This window comes from Homo sapiens, chromosome 1 (assembly GCF_000001405.40).
Source record: "Homo sapiens chromosome 1, GRCh38.p14 Primary Assembly".
Taxonomy (NCBI): domain Eukaryota; kingdom Metazoa; phylum Chordata; class Mammalia; order Primates; family Hominidae; genus Homo; species Homo sapiens.
The window spans coordinates 36,864,849-36,881,520 of NC_000001.11; the positions used below are offsets into that span (position 1 = coordinate 36,864,849).

A 16,672-nucleotide genomic window follows, 5' to 3' on the forward strand; every position below is an offset into this window, starting at 1 on the left:
TTTTTTTTTAATTCAGACTGCCCAGGGCCAAGACCCCAAGTGCTGTACACTGTGAACTGTGTGCAACCTTGCTGCTTGGCAAAAAGTTGTGTTCTCGATGCCAAATGTTGACACACTGAATTCAGTATCGACGAGGGACCTTTTAGAAACATTCAGCATAACATAATAAACTAATTCATTAGCACCCCATGGGTCTGAATGGGTAGGAGCTGAAGCTTGGAAAACATCGCCTTAAGGAATGACAGATGAAAATATCTTCCCCATGATATCACTGTTATTGCCAGGAAGTGGCATTAATTGTGATTGCTTATCTATTAATTTATTATAATTCTTTTTTCACCTCCAGGCTTTTACCTACACATGACATGTACCAGGGGCTCAGCTGGGGCTGATTAATGCGAGGTTATCTGGGAATGGCTCAAAGCTGGTTGGAACAGATAATGGCAGCTGGGGTAATTAAAATATCTTCTGCATGGAAGAAGCAAATTTGGAGAATTTTTTTTAGAGGCGAAGAGTTGGTGATGTGGGTTTCCTAAAGGGAAGGAGATAAATGCCAGATGCCACTGTCCTCCCAAATAAGCCACAACTGACCAATGGGCACAAAGAGGGAGGATCACGAGGTAGAGGCCTCGGCAACAGGGCCGGAAGTGGATCCTGAAGACCGGAAGCAGGATATGACTGAGGGAGAGGACCAGGAGCACAGCTGGTGCTCCAACCGATGGGGTTCTGCTGGGAGATACTCTGGGAGACCCCGCCCCATACTCCACTGCAGAACTGTGTGTATTGCAAGGGCTATGCCTCCCTGGAAGGGTCCATTCTTCCCGACCCTCAGATTGTGTGGGGAGGAAGGACAGTCAGCTGGAACAGCCAAGGACAGGACCAGGAGTCAGGAGCCAAGGCCTCTTGTCACTGATCTGCTATGAAACTTCAGGAAGTGCCTGATGCCAGGTTTCCCCACCAGTCAATGGGGAGTGCAAAGTGCCCTGTTGCTGGCCTCAAATGTGTAAAGAGGAAAGTCAGAGGGCTTTCTTCTTGCTTTCTTTTTTAAAGTGACAGGGTCTGGCTCTGTCCCCTAGGCTGGAGTGCAGCGGCACAATCTTAGCTCACGGTAGCCTCTAACTCCTGGGCTCAGGCAATCCTTCTGCCTCAGTTTGCCTTCCAAGTAGCTGGGACTACAGGCCTGCCCGACTATGCCTGGCTAATATTTTTATTTTTGTAGAGATAGGGTCTCACTATGTTGCCTAGGCTGGTCTTGTACTGGCCTCAAGTGATCCCCTTGCCTTGGCCTCCCAAAGAGTTGGGATTACTGGTGTGAGCCACAATGTCCAGCCCTAAAATCAGAGGGTTTTGGAACTGGTGTAGCATGGGAGCTGCTGGGATTTCAGGAGGCTCCGTTTCCCCATTGACCTCAATTACCACACCTGAACCAACATGGTCAGGCATTGTGTGGAATCTGAGCCAGCCAGAGGAGGCCAGGGAACACTTGGTGTGGACTTTCAGCATGATAGGTTTCAGCAGAGGGCTTTGGAGCTGGACAGCTCCCTGCTGCGAAAAAATCCTTGCTCTGCTCCTTTCTTGCAGAGTGACTTTGAGCCTCAGTTTCCACGTTTCTATAAAACTGGGAGAGTCTATCTCCCTTGGAAAGTTGTTCTGAATTTTGGATGGGATGGGGTATGTTGAGCACACAGAAAACAAAAGCAGGATGTTTAGTTTATTTAACACTTACACTGTAATAAGTGCCAAGCATTGTTCTAAGCATTTTATGACGTCAATGCACTCAGCGTAACAATCCTGTGAGGTAGTAATATTACTGTCACCACTGTATAGATGAGAAAATGAGGCACAGAGAGGTTAAGTAACTTGCCCAAGGGAGTGGAAGAGTCTCAATTCTAACTCAGGCCAACTGGGATCAGAGTGGTTTTAACTAACTGTTGCTATGATGATGTGTTGACAATTTCACGGATTACTTTCCACATTGCATTGCAGTCATCCATCCGTCCATCCATCCAGCCGTCTGTCCATCCATCTGTCCATCCATCCAGACATTAATGAGCACCTACCATGTGCCAGCTTCTATGTGGGTGCTGGGGACAGAGAGGTTAACTGGGCACAGTTCTTGTTTCTTATATACATGAAGGAAGCCACCAGCTTGTGAGCTTTGTGTTGAATCCATCTATGTACACCCCTCCCACCCAAGTGCCTAGTGCAGTGCCCAGGACCTTGGAGAGCATTTGTATATGGCTGCTGGATAAATGAATCAATGGATGATTAAGAAAATGAAGAAAAATGGACACTGGCCGGGGCTAGTCTCTGTTCCCTAGAGACTTTAGCACACCACAGCTACCCTGGGTACATCATATCCCAGTTGACCATCCATTCCTCCTCTGCCTCTTCTCACCATCTCTTTCTCTGATTATCACCCACTTTCCCAGATCCAATTGTGGACTGGCTGAGCATCAGTCAATGTTTCTCAATGGGGCACCATAGTTATCTGGGGCTGGACAACTCATCTCCAGAATCTTGCCCATCATAGAATGTCTAGCATCCCTGATCCCCACTCACTAATTTCCAGTCTTGGTGACAAATAAATGACTAGCTCCCATATAGCTAAATGCTCCCAGGGTGAGGGTTGTGTCACCAGCAAGATTGCAGAAACCACCCTTGGGACAGACGACGACTACTTCTTGGCCAATCAGCTGAGGTCTGCCCATGGGTAGAGAGAAAGAATGCTCTCTAAGGTCCTGGGCACTGAGCTAGGCACTTGGGTGGGAGGGGTGTACAGAGATGGATCCAACACAGAATATAAGATAGAGCCACCAAGCAGAAAGCCTTGGGACATTGGGAGGTTTCAGTAGAATTGGGGTCAGAGCAGGAACAAAATCTTCCTATCTCCTTCACCCACCCTGAGTACTGCCCTCGCCACCCACTCTGTCTGCACAGGGCTTGTGATTAAACCCCCTCTGGGCCTTGCTCCAAGTCCCAGCCGTAAATATCCTATTAAAAGCATCTCTGCCTGGCTCAAGCCTCATTCCAAGGCCGGGGTGGGGGGTCGTTGAGTTGGTAAAATGGCAGGGCCTGAAGCTTTGGCCCCTCAGCCCTGCAGCCTGGCTGACCTTCCAGGACAAGACTCTGGGGAAGGCACCACCCCAGTGACCCCAGTACCTTCCACGTTAATGCCATTGGCCACTGGGGTCAAGATCGAAGGTCTTAAAGAGAGGATCCTAGTGTCCCCGGGTCCAGGAGTTGCTCTCAGCACCCTAAGATCTCAGGATGGGATGGGGAGGGCTGCCATGAGTGGGGAGAAAGTTGTGGACCCCTGGAATGTGCCCCACCCCACCTTCCCAGTCTTGCTCCTCTGCCCTGCTCCCAGCTCTGGACAGAGGTAGAGTTTCAGGGGTCTGGTAGCCTCCCTTGACTTTCCAGGAGACAGCATGGCAGGAAGAAGCCAGCTTAGGTGGGCGGAAATCCAGAAGGGATTCAGGGGAGCTGGCTTCACTCTGCCTGATCTCATTCGCCAGCTTCCAGGATCCCTTTCTCCCAGCATGGCTCCTGGCAGGTCCCCAGGTCTGAGCCCTGGATCAGGAGAATCGCAGGGTGGCTCCTGAGCTCTGCTGTGGGCACAGGGTGCAGAGGGAGGGACTGTAGGGAGGATAAGTGCTTAATAACCAGCTCTCTGGGGGAGGCGGCTCTTATTTGTAGCATTTGCTCACTTCCATTGTGTAAGCGTTCCCGTCACAGTGATTTCAAGCTACCAACATGACATGGACTTAGGAGGAGATAATGCAATTGGCTCTCGCCCGCTGGATCAAGCCAGCTCCTGCATACCATGAAGAGCTAACTTGCCTCTTGGCCTTTGCTTATGCTGTTCCTTCTGCATACAATGTCCTTCCTCTTTCTCCCTTGGTGAACTCCTATGGATCTTTCGAGGCCTAGTTCAAGTATCTGGTTTTCTGTAAGACTGCCTCAAACTTCCCGCCTTCCACCAGACCCTCAGAACCTACGGGGTCATAGATGCTGGGTAGGGAGAGCTAGCTGGGTGCTGGATAAATGAATGAATATGGTTAGAGGCCTACAGGGCTGCAGTGGCTGGGCAGACACATACTGCAGGAGGCTTTTTGAAAAGCGACAGGATGGTCAGTGAGGCTGTCACTCACCTCAGACCTGGGATGGGTGGAATAGTCTGCCCAGGGCCCCAGCAGGGTCTGAAGGTGTCTATCTGCAAGGCAGTGAGGCTCAGGATGGGTGCCCTTTTGGCACAGGAATCTCTTTATTCTGCTGAACTCAGGCCACAGCTAATTATCCTAATGGGTTTAAATGGCCCTAAATGTTCTCAGAGTTTGGACAGGACCCATCTGGAGCCTGTAGGTGGGCTGGGCTAGCTGACAGTGAGTGGGCAGACTTCAGTATGAATGTGGACAGAATCCAAAGCGACAATTCCCGTGAGGCCCGAGATATGCGTGGGGAAGTGTGGGCTAGGAACCGAGGGCCATGATAATCATAATAGTGAATACTTCCAGAGCTCCTCATGTACCAGGCACTGCGTGTTACCTTATTAACTCATTTGGTGCTCACAGTAATCCTAGGAGGCAGAAGCCCATTTTGCAGAGGAAGAAACTGAGGCAGGGAGGTTAAGTGCCTTAGCCAAGGAACCACAGTGGTGAGCAGAGGAGCTGGTGTTCACATTGGCTCCAGAGTTCACATCCTTAATTATAACATGATGCTGCCTCTCACAAGTGGGCAGGTCACAAAGACATATTTGTGCCCTTACCTGGGGCCACCCCTACAGCCTGAGGAAGCTGCAGCAATTGTCTTCAGTGGGCTGGCCCAGGCTAAGCCACAATGAACTTGATCCATGAGAGTCCCACCCCTTTCCCGTGCCAGGACCCAGAGGTACATTACCAGAGTGGTGAAGATGAAGTGGTAGTACTCAGTCATCATGCCCATGGCCATGGCCTGCAGAAAAGCAGAGTGTTAGTGATCAGCAGGGAACCCCTGGGCAGCCCTCCCCACATCCCCACCCAGGGCTGAGAATGGGACTGGCAGTGGGTTGGGGAAGGCTGGCTGCTTGGAGTAAGGTGTCCTCTGAGACCACCTCTGAACAGTGACAATGACTGCCTGGCAGACAGCAGTGGATTTCACACTGGAGTGTGCTGTAAAGTCACCTGGGACAGATTAAAATGCAGATTTTTGGGTCACATTCTTCAAAGATTCCAAATTCTGCAGGGCCCGTGGGGTCTAGCTGCCTCTTTTGAGTAAGCGTCTCCCGGCCTGCCACACTTAGAGAAATGCTGATGGCGTCAGTCTGAGGCTGTCTTCTCAAGTGCCCTGGACTCCACTCAGCTGAGCTCCCTGTCCTGGATCCAGAGGCAGTACGTTTCCCCCCAACCCTGCTAACCCCCTGGCCTAGCCAGGCCTGAGCTGGGAGGTCTGTCTTCAGCCTCCCCAAGAAGGGCTGAGGCATCCCTGCTCCCTTAGTCCTGGCTGACCACAAAGCAGGCCACATGGCCACTGTGGAATTCTTACCGTCTGCCATCATGAAGTCTGCACTATCTATAGTTTATGTATTTTATTAGAAGCCTATAATCTATTATACTAATGACTATAATGCATTTTCTACAGAGTTCCTCAGAATGCTGGGCCCACAGAGGGCTCTGGGGAAAATGTCACCGGTTCAAGTACACTTTGCAAATGCTGCCCATTCCCTCCCGCCTTTGAAGAGTCACAGCCCACCTCAGCACGTTAAAGTCTCAGAGAAGTCCTGCAAGAAGCTAATTGGCTTAACTTCATTTAAATCTGGCTTTGGCTCAGCTCAGAATCTTCATTTCTAATTCCAGAAGTTTTAAAATCAGACAGACCTGGGAGTCCATTCTGGCTTCCTGCCTGGATGACCTTGGGTCCATTACTTTCCCCTTGAGCCTCAGTTTCCTTACCTATAAATTGGGCACAAGAATTCTCCCTGTTTCCCAGTGTGGTGATAAATGAGGAGCTACATGGACCCGGCAGAGGGCAACTGCCGAGTAAACCAAAGCTGTGATTGTCACCATTCTTCTGTTACACATGCTGTCTGGGTGGTGGGGGTTGGGGTAGGGGGGAGAAGAGGCACTGGGCACAGCTGATCGGGAGGCTAGGGGTTATAGGCTTTCTGGGGCATGCGTGTTTCCTCGACAGCAGCTTTAAAGATGCCCAACGCTGGGTGTCAACTGCCTGCTGGGTGTCAGAAGAAACTCCTGATGTTTTCCTTGTTGCACTGAAGCCTCCATAATGGTATGAGATGGGGATTATGAACCTCATCTACAGAGGAGGGGAATGACTCCTGGGCCTCTTGCTCCAGGGCACACAACGTGAAAGGGCAGAAGCAGAACTCAAACCCTCAAATGAGCCTTTTAAGTGCGGTGTAAAGGAGCTTCCTTTGTGAGGAGCCAGGGATAGAGGCTGCCATTCAGGCCTGGCACCCCCGATGGGGCCCAACTGGAGGATGGGACTTGAGCCCCTCAAGGCCTCGAGAACACTCCGGCTCAGCGTGTCTCCTCCTGCACCCCTTAAATCACCTGGACCCTGAGGGGTCATGTGTCAAAGCCCCACAGAATGCCTCCTCCAGTCACCAGAAATGCTTTCTGGGATGACATAATTGCCTTTTACACAAAGCGCCAGCTCAAATCAGTTTTTGGTTTCCGCTGTGGCACCCTTGGAGCGGGTGGTAGGCGATTTCACTGTTTATTTTCTTAGGTGACTGGCGGAGCTTGGCTCTCGTCCCCAGCAGGCCATGCTGAGCTGTGTTTGGGAACGAAGGCCCATCCAGGACTGAGAGCCATTCTCCTCCCCCTCTGTCACTGCAGAGCTGAGCAGATGGTACGAGAGCCTTGATAAAGCTCCCAGTAATAGGAGAGTAACACCAAGTGCCGTGGGCTACGGGGAATTAGTCACTGGAAGAGGCGGTGAGGCATTCTGGGGGCTGTTCCTGAGAATCTGAGGCCTCTCTGCTTCCTGGAGTGCTCTGCTCCTGTGTGGCTGTGGGTACCTCCCGGCAGCCTCTGCCTCCAACCAGCACAGAGGTGGGATGGAAACTCGTGTCTACTCAGCACTCTCCCTGTGTCAGGCCGGGCTGGGCGGATCATCCATCCTTACGCCAACTCACAGAGTAAATACTGCAGTGTCCGTTTTGCTACTGGTGAAAATGAGGCTCAGAGAGGCAAACCACCCAAGGTCACACAGCAGGAAAGTGGCAGAGCTAGGAGTCAAACTTAGATCTGGCAGCATCACACCCACATTTGGGAAGGGGACGTGGGAGAAGTGGCCAGCAGACCCCAGTCATCTGTCCCGGTGGCCAGCACTCACGCACCTGCTTGAGGATCTGGGCCGCCATAGTGTGGCTGCAGTCGAAGATAATGCGGAATTCCCGGCCTCGCTTCATCTCCTTGAGCAAGGGGCGCGAGTCGTCAGAGTCGATGGGGAGCTGACGGATCTTCAGGCGGATGTTGTATCTTGATGGGGCCATGATGAGCTCCTGCAGTCGGATGAGCCCTGAGGGGCCATGGAGCACAAAAGACACACGTGTACCACATGTATCCACAGCTCCAGGCATCCACTTGGACTTGTGTGCACACACATGCCCATGGCCACAGGTCTGCAGACATACACGGGCAGAAACGTGGCCCACAGAGACTTGTGCACGTGCATGGACAACACTGGAGAGCAGGTGTGTGTGCACATACAAACACATGGCTACACGCACGTGCATGTCAATATGGGCAGGAATACACTTGGGCTTATCAACACGTGTGTATATGTAGATTAAGGCCTGTGCACACAGTGGTGCAGTACACACATATGTAGATTCAAAAGTAGGCACAGATAGCAAATTCCCACTGACCACACCCATCTGCTTCTCTCTAACCCAGAATGGGTGTAAAGCCTTCAGGGCCTAAATCAGAGTTCACCCCTCTTCTTCTGTACCCACCCCCAACATTGTGAGACATGGGACATGATTTCCCTCAACATCTCCAGCGAGCTGCTTCCAGGATATGGGCACAAAAGGCAGCTCCAGCCTCAGTGGTACTAACCTGTACCAACCACTGGGCTGGGTAAGGCCAGGAGGTATTTGTGTCTCCGCCCTCGTCCTCACTAAGGGCAGTCTGCCTTGGTAAACCTTACCCACTTTTTCAGGTTTAGTGCAACCACCTCCTCCATGAAGCCTTCCTCTTTTGCTCTGTCCAGAAAAGATCACCCTCTCCTCCAACTCAGTGGCCTCCTCCCTCAGCAATGGCCTCCTCTGGCCCCACCTCATTCCCCTCATCCTGCCACCAGCACGTTGATATCTGGGGCTGGGTTCCCACCACCCCCAGCACAGGGCCTGGCACTCAGGTGGTACTCAACAAAAGTTTCCATAATTGGACTGACTTACTGTTTTTTGTTTTTTGTTTTTCCTCCCACACTGAAAAATCTATCCTCTACCTTGGTTGGCGTTTTTGTAAAACCACTTAATCTGAGGACTTCCAGGGAAAACTGAATGTCACTTTCTGGAGACAAATGGCTTACTTAGGTCTAATTAAGTTCGTTTCTGTCCCTATTTCAAGGTCCATTTTTGCTGACTTCTTTCTGCATAGCCTGGGAGCAAGCCTGCTTGTTACTCTGTATATACTTCCCGCCCCTTCCTCCCCTCCAAAGAAGAAGCTGAGCCAGCACACGGCCAGGTCCCAAGAGGGCCATCCCCTCCTGCTTGCTTGGTCCCTAGTCATCCCCAGGACTCAGTGTCTGGTCCTGGTGACACAGTTCACACAGCATGTCCCACCCCTGCCCCCCCACCACTAATGGCACTTCAATTTTCCTTTGGGGAAAAACTTCTCCCCCACTCTTAGTTTCTGTGACTCAGGAGGGGTCCATCGTCAGCTCTAGGGGCAAAGCACATGGCCCCAGCCTGGGAATAGGTATTGACTCAGAGATAGGTACAATACCATTGACTCTCAGAAACTGTGTTAGAACAACTGGCACAAAAAGAGGGTGAGAAACACTCCCTTTTTCACTCAACTTCAAATATGGAGGTTGTAAGTCCAGGGTCCCCACGTAGACCTCGAGAAGGATTCCACCAGGACAGATGTCAGAGAGAACAAGTAGCAAAGAAGTCCTAATGATCTTCACTTCAGCCTCTGGATCAAATGGTGCCTGAAGCTAAAATTAGCTCCAAACTTTCCAGTAAAGGAAACCAAATTGCTGCCCCCAAACTTTTTTTGCTTAAGCCAGTTTGCACTGGATTAAAGTTTTCAATCAACTGTTACTCTATCTGGAAAGAGTCCCCCTGACCTCACTCAGATAGCCCTCTCCAAAAGCCTTCCGGCAGAGAATCCCAGTTTCCAAAACAATCTCTGGTACACACCCCTGAGTCTGTTTAGCAATTATTCTCATTCCTGAGGGCTGGACATCAGGAAAGCAATCTGATTGGTGTCCATCATCTCACTTTGCTTCGGGGACAGACATGTATGCTCGTAGCCTAAGCCTCCTAAAGAGCTTCCACACAAGCTTTGCCATGACTGGGCATCAGGAACCCCCAGCCCACTGAAGACTCAAACCCATGTGCTGGAGTTGGGAGACGGCTATGTAGTCCCAGAGTGGTCTGGATCAAACAGGTGCCCTGTGCTTCCTAATACCAGACTTGATGGGGAGGAGGAAGAGGCTATCAGTTGACCTTCACATAGAAGGGAGAGGCCACAAGCTATCACAAGACACACACACAGGCTATCCCCCTCCCAATGTATCCCAGAAATTCTTGATTAGGTTGAATGATGCTTCCCTTTCATATCTGTTACCCCGTGAGGTCCAGGGTGCACAGTTTGCTCCTCCCTGTTTGGTTTTGAGACTTATGTGCAGCATCAGCAGGCATGTGGGCTTTGGGGACCCAGGCTATGAGGACTGGGACAGGCTGGATGCTGGAGCAGAGGCCACCAGGGCCTTCTTGTCAGCCAAGCACATCGCCCCATGTAATGCATGGTGACCCACATTCTCCAGCAGCAAATGTCAGCCCTCCTTCCCATCAGTGTATTCCCAAAGGAGACCAGAGGCTCCTCTCAGCCCACTCCAGCAGAGGACTAGGCTCTCTTTGTTTGCCTGAGATGAGCTTTCCTTTCTGGCTGCTCCCCTAATCAATCTCTCTTAAAATATCTGCAGTGAATCATGGTTGTTGGAATCATGCTTTTCACTCACAAAGCGCTTCTGCATTCATTACCCTATTTAACCATCTCCCAATCCTAGAAGGCATATAGAACAAGGATTTTCATTCCAATGTTACAGAGAAAAATCCCAAGGACCACAGAGGTTAAGTAACACCACAGAGGTTAAGTGATTATGGAATCATAATTAGAGACCCAATAACATTTTGACTCCTAGGCTGTAGCCCTTTCCTTCATCCCAGGTTTTTGTTTGTTTGTTTGTTTAATACCATCCTTTCACCCTCAAGATGAGTTTGTCTTTATGCATAGAATAGATAAGGCACAAAGCTCGTGGGGCAAACACTGGCTGCCTTCTCAATAGCCATTCTCCTTGGGGGAGATTGCAGCCATGACCCCAATTCTTCACCTCTCCTTATAACCACACCCTTTGCCATGTAACTTTGCAGGGCCCTCCAATTGGGCTCACCCATGTGAATTGTTTTGGCCAGTGGGATGTTGGCAGGTACCATGCAGGCAAACAGTTGAAATGGAATTGTACATTGGGTTTGCTCTCTCGCCCCTCTGCAATTGTCATGACAATGTGCCTCGGCTATCCTGCTGGAGGATGAGAGACAGGTGGAGAGCTGAATATACCTGCATTTCAGTCAAGGCCAGCCTAGATCAACCAACAGCCAGCTGACCACCAAGCAGGTGAGTGATCCAGGTGAACCCAGAAAAACGACCTAGCCAAGTTCAAGAAATCACTGACCCTGTGGACTTGTGAGTTAAACAAATGCTTATTATTTTAAGCCACTGAGTTTTTGAGGTGGTTTGTTACACAGCATTATTATAGAAAGAGATAACAACTGCACTCCCTTCCAGCATTCTAAAAGAACTGTGATTGTGTTTGGGTGAAAATGCACCAGTCCCATGAGATGACTCGTGATTGGCAGGAGCCAATCAGTGGCAATCCCATTCCCATCTGACAATGTCTAGAATAATAGGTATGGACCCAGTGAGCTATACAGGATTGTCTTCTAGAAGGTTCTGAGACAGATCTTCCTCTTTGATAAGAGGCATGAGTCACATTAAGAAAAATCTCATTGGGCTGGTTGTGGTGGCTCATACCTATAATCTCAGTGCTTTGAGAGGCTAAAGCAGGAGTTTGAGACCAGCCTTGGCAATACAGCAAGACTCTGACTCTATAAAAAAATTTAAAACTTAGCAGGGCATGGTGGTATGTTCCTGGGTTCCAGCTACTTGGGAGGCTGAGGTGGGAGGACCGTTTGAGCCCTGGAGTTCAAGGTTGCCAGGAGCCATGATTGTGCCACTGCATTCCAGCCTGGGTGACAGAGTGAGACCCTGTCTCTAAAATAAAAAAATAATGAAGAAGAAAATCCCATTGGCCTCTACCTTCTGTATGCCACCTACTGCATGCTCCGAGCTTCAGCAGCCCTATTGTGACTATGAGCTGAAGGCCAAGAGAGCTGTGGCAATACTGACCCAGCACCCTGACTTTGTCAAGCTGCTAAATCATCCCAGGAAAGGCCCATCTCCAGAATTCTTGTCAGTGAGATAACGGTTTATTGCTTGAGTCAATGTGAGTTGGGCTGTCTGTTACTTGCAGCCAAAACATCCTGATGGACACAATCTCCAAAGCAAACACAGCCAAAGCCCACTGTGGAGTATTTCCCACTCCATGGGTTTGATGACCCATACATTGTCCTGCCCTTTGACATATCTGGATTCTGGGAGCACACTTCTTTCTACCCACTATACATCATCAAAGTTATATTATTTGGCTGAAGCCAAACCTGAGCCCCTAGTGCTCATTGTCTTCTTGATCAAACTCACTGACCCATTGACTCCCCTATGTTTTAAATATTTGTTGAACTGAATTGAGTTGAATTTAACTGAATCAAATGGAAAATGAAGTTGAATTAAACTCTAATTAAATATTGAAGGAAAGAGTATAAGGATAAAAAAATGAAGATGTTGCTATCCTATCTCCTTTTGAGAAGTTAATTGTATTCCAGAGGAGTGGGTACCTGCCCAGTGATCACAGGTAATTCCAGGCCATCAGAGCTGAGAATGAAGTGACGTGTACTTATAGTCAGAGCTAAAGGCACTTGTGGGTAAGAGCTGCAGACCTGAGCATCAGCTCTGGCCAGTTTTGCTAGCATGGTATCCATCATCATGATAAAGCACCTTTTCCTCTGCAAAGCCACTTCCTCCACCCTCCACCTAGACTATGTCAGTGTCTGCTCTGACACTCTGTACCCATGACATTCCAGTTACATGTCTTCAACATTACCCTGTTCACATCCCTTTCTTCTCTTCCATTCTGGCCCCATGTTCTCTTCCAAGCACCCCTTGAATTCTGGCCTCCTTTGCTCCTGTCTGGACCAGTGCAGTCGGCTGTGCTCTAGTCTCCTTGCTCTAGGCTCTCCTTCCAACCCTCCCTGTGCATTGCTCTTAGAACCACCTTCTAAAACTCTGCTTTGATTATTCTACGCCTTTGCTCAGCAATACTCAATGATCCTTGGCTGCTTTAAAGATAAAACCTGAACTCTGAGGCTGGACATCAGAGACCTTGCATAGCCAGCTACACTCTGTTAATCTGACTTTTTCTTCCCACCTTCCATACCTGAATCCTCTCCCCTAGCCAGGCTGTCCTCTTGGTTAAGCTGCTAGGTACAGTCCAACCTAGTTTTTGCTCATGCTGTTCCCTCCACCTGTAATTCCCTCATGATTCCTCTCCTCATTCATCTATCCTCTCCTCATTCACCTATCCTGCTCCAATCTCTCCTCCTCTGGTAAGTCAGCTCAGACCAGCCAAGGCCATAGAGCTTCCATTCCCCAAGTGGTCTGGCTCTGACTAAATGTATATGCCATTTCATTCTTAGCTCTGATGGCCTAGAATTATGTGTGACCTCTGGGCAGGCACCCATTCTTCTATGCTAAGATTAACTTTTCAAAAGAAGACAGGATAACAACATCTTTGTTTCTTCACCCGTATACTCTTTCCTTCAATATTTAATTAGGGTTTAATTCAACTTGATTTCCAATTCAATCCAAACTAATCCAATCCAGTCCAATCCAACTCAGTGCCAACAAACAATGAAAAACATCTACACTGTACCAGACCCTGTGTTAAATCCTGGAGACACTGAAAGCTCCTGGCCTGGAAGCAGACACAGACTCACAGACAGATAATGATTCACAGTGGTACATTAAGAAACAACTCCACAATGCAGCAGAAACACTGGAGTGGCTGGGAGGTGGGCAGGAGTGCCCCTCAATGGCAAGGTCTTCATGCTGGGGTGAATAAGCCAGGCTGGGGATCCCTGCTCTCAAGGATCTTCTGTCGGGTGCTTTGGAAATAGCAGGAACTCAATAGATGCTTGTAGAAGCCTGAGTTAAATAAACAGCTTTCCAATTGTCTTTTCTGAGGGAGTCTCTCCCTACTATTTCCAGTCCCCATTAGGAGGTAATCAAAAGCTGACATTGAATCACAGGCAGCTGAGAGCTGGAGGGCTCTTTCAAGGCTGGATGCAGCAGCTCTTGACATGTGGGCAGAGCAAGGCCAGATGGGTTAAGTGACTTGCCAAGGTCACTCTCTCTTAAGAGGCCAGGCTAAGAAATGTCTTGGGACTCAAGCCTTTGGAAAGAAAGAGGAGAAGAAACAGCTCCATGCTGGCTAGCAGCACAGACTTTAGGCTCAAACAGGCCTGTAGGTGCATGCTGGCTCTGGCACTCACTAGCTGGGTGACAGTGCACAGGGCATGTCACCTCTTTGGGACTCAGTTTCCTCATTTCTAATTCATCGCTCCAGGGAGTTACTATGAGATTTACATGAAATGAAATAAGATCACACTTGCACCACTTGGTTCGCAGCAGGTAAACAGTAGCCTTCTTTAGCAGATGAATCCAGAAGCATGTATGAATTCCATCTCTAGGGGACTCTCCAGGTCTGTCCCTGCCCCACACATCCTCACAAGGATGACTTAAGGATGAAGGCAGGGACCAGGCAGCGGTCAGTGCCCTCAGTGGCTCTTCTCTCCCTTTTCCCTTTCCTGCTTGCTCTTTTTGTGACTTATGGCAGACCATTAGCTCTCTGTACATAGAGCTACATGGAGATGGCTCTGTTCATGCAGATGGCTATGTTGTCCCGTTTGTGTTTCCCTACAATGTAGTGCTTGCCAAGACCAAGAACTGAGTTTTGGTGTGGTGTGGTGACTCACACCTGTAATCCCAGCACTTTGGGAGGCTGAGGTGGGAGGATTGCTTGAATCCAGGAGTTGGAGACCAGCCTGGGCAACGTAGCCAGAACTTGGCTCTACAAAAAAATACAAAATTAGCCAGGTGTGGTGCTGCATGCCTATAGTTCCAGCTATTTGGGAGACTGAGGTGGGAGGATCTCTTGATCCCAGAGGTCGAGGTGATAGTGAGCTGTGGTGGCACCACTGCACTCTAGCCTGGGTGACAGAAAGAGTGGGTTTTGTTTATCTAAGTATCTCCAGCTCCTAGCAATGAATGAGATCCAAAGGAAAAGCCAGAGTGCGTTTGCTGGGTTTGTTGGTGGTTATCTGCTAGGTGTGTGCTCTGGGCCCTCTCTAAGGGCCTGGGACTTGAGAGGCAGGGGGTATCACATTGGAGCAAGGGTTTTCTGGAAGGCAGAGCCCAGGCTGGACTTGGAAGGCAGGGCAGGAGTGGGTCAGGTGGGTCCTACCCAGAAAAATGTGGGCAGCATTAGCTCTAGCTGGCAGAGCATGTGGGACAGGTGCAGCCACATCAGGGAGCCCAGCTTTGGGCCCGCAGCTCATAGCCACGGGCCCCAGAGCCCATCTCCTCTTTCTGTCCTGGCAGGATGAGACAACAGCCTGGTGCTGACGTCTGCAAGCTTGGCACTGGCTGGGGTCAGCGGTCAAGTGGGTATGGCAGGGGCTGGTGTGTGTGCGAGCAGAGCTGGGCACGTGCAGGTGTCTGTGTGTGAGTGTGGGTAGAGAAGAGTGTGTGTGTGGCGGGTGAAGGTGTGAGGAGGATGAGAAGAACCAACCTTCAGCGCTCACTGCATGTCAGTGCTTGTCACTGTCATCTTGTAATCCCACATTTTACAGATTTACATTTTATAGGAAACTGAGGCACAAAGAGGCTACTCAGCCAGCAGGTGATAGAGATGGGATTTACACCCAGGTGGTTTGGCTCCAGTGTGTACACACTTAACACTAGGCCACGCCATAAGCTATGTGTGTGAGTGTGCAAGTGTGAGGGTGGATGTGTTTGCAGCAGATGGAAATGTGTGAGCGTAAGGGCATGGGCAGGTGTCGGTGTGGCTTGCAGATGTGTGTGCTGCTGCTAGGGTGGGTGTTCAGTGCAGATTTGAACACTTGTGCTGCTAGAGGAGGAGCTGAGTGTGAGGCAGGGGTGAGGTGCGCTGGGGCTGAGTGAGATATGAGTGCCGCTGGGGTGCACAGGGTGTGAGTGGGTGCAGGGGTGAACATCAGCATAACCGAGTGGAACTGGGGTATGGAACACAGCCTCTTCCCCCAGGGCAGCTGTGCTGAACAAACAGACAAGAGCTTGATCCTGGGCCTCTGCCCCCCTCAACCGTTGCCCCCAGCCTAGCCAGGCCTGGCCACCCACCTGTACTGTCGTCATAGACCACGGTGGCTGACCGCCACTTGAGGTACTGGACCAGGTCGAGGATGGCATGGCTGAGCGAGGCGTAGTCGGGGTAGAGGTTCACGTAGAAGGTGTCCTTGTTGTCCAGCGGGTGGTGCTTCCAACGCAGCTGGATGTGGGGCACCTCCAGGGCATTGCAGATGGACTGGACGGCATTGGTGCAGGAGCCCTGTGATGGGCCGAAGATCGCCACCACGCCCAGTGCCAGCTGGTCACAGGCTGCAACAGAGGGTAGGGCAGCACAGGGGTCAGCACTGGGGCTGTGGGTATGGGGACAGTGATGCTGATGATCCTGTAAACATGTGGGAAAAACAGCAACTGGAACCCTCGGTGGGTGCACAATGGATGAGCTCTCTGAACCTCAGTTTCCTCATCTGAAAACAGGGGTTCTAACAGTCCCTGCCTTGCAAGACCACATGAAGGTGGAAAGACATGGTTGTGGGAGACTGGAGCACAGTGCCAGGGTACGTCCCTTTTCCTTAGGAAGTGCCCATGACAAAAGTGATCACCACATTCAATGTTACCATCCTGGGATTAGCATCACCATCTCTGTGCCAGGTTCTGTTCTTGGGGGACTTGAGAAACAAATAGAATCAAACTGGCTGATGGTGCTTCAACTTCAACCTCTAGCCCGGCCTGTTCCCTACCCCGGACCTGTGCATCTCACCTCTTACTCAACATCACCAGTTGGATATCTGACATGCATATCAGATCTGACATGTCCAGCACAGGATCCCCTCTTGTCCCAACCTCCTTCACCTCCATAAACAGCAGCTCCATTGTCCCTGGACCCATATGCCAAAAACCATGGTTCTGTCTTGATTCTTCTCATTCACTCATATCCCACA

The 16,672-nt window shown here is 50.2% G+C and overlaps 1 protein-coding gene across 1 annotated transcript in view; it reads right to left on the minus strand.

Annotated features, from left to right (window-relative positions):
- Positions 1–16,672, minus strand: part of GRIK3 (glutamate ionotropic receptor kainate type subunit 3) — a 238,989-nt gene that overhangs the window by 69,322 nt on the left and 152,995 nt on the right. The window contains exons 3-5 of the mRNA NM_000831.4: positions 15,786–16,043; positions 7,340–7,521; positions 4,900–4,953 (exon numbers count right to left, since the gene is read on the minus strand). Of these exons, the coding sequence (NP_000822.2) occupies positions 4,900–4,953; positions 7,340–7,521; positions 15,786–16,043 (494 nt within the window). The remainder of the gene's footprint in view (positions 1–4,899; positions 4,954–7,339; positions 7,522–15,785; positions 16,044–16,672) is intronic.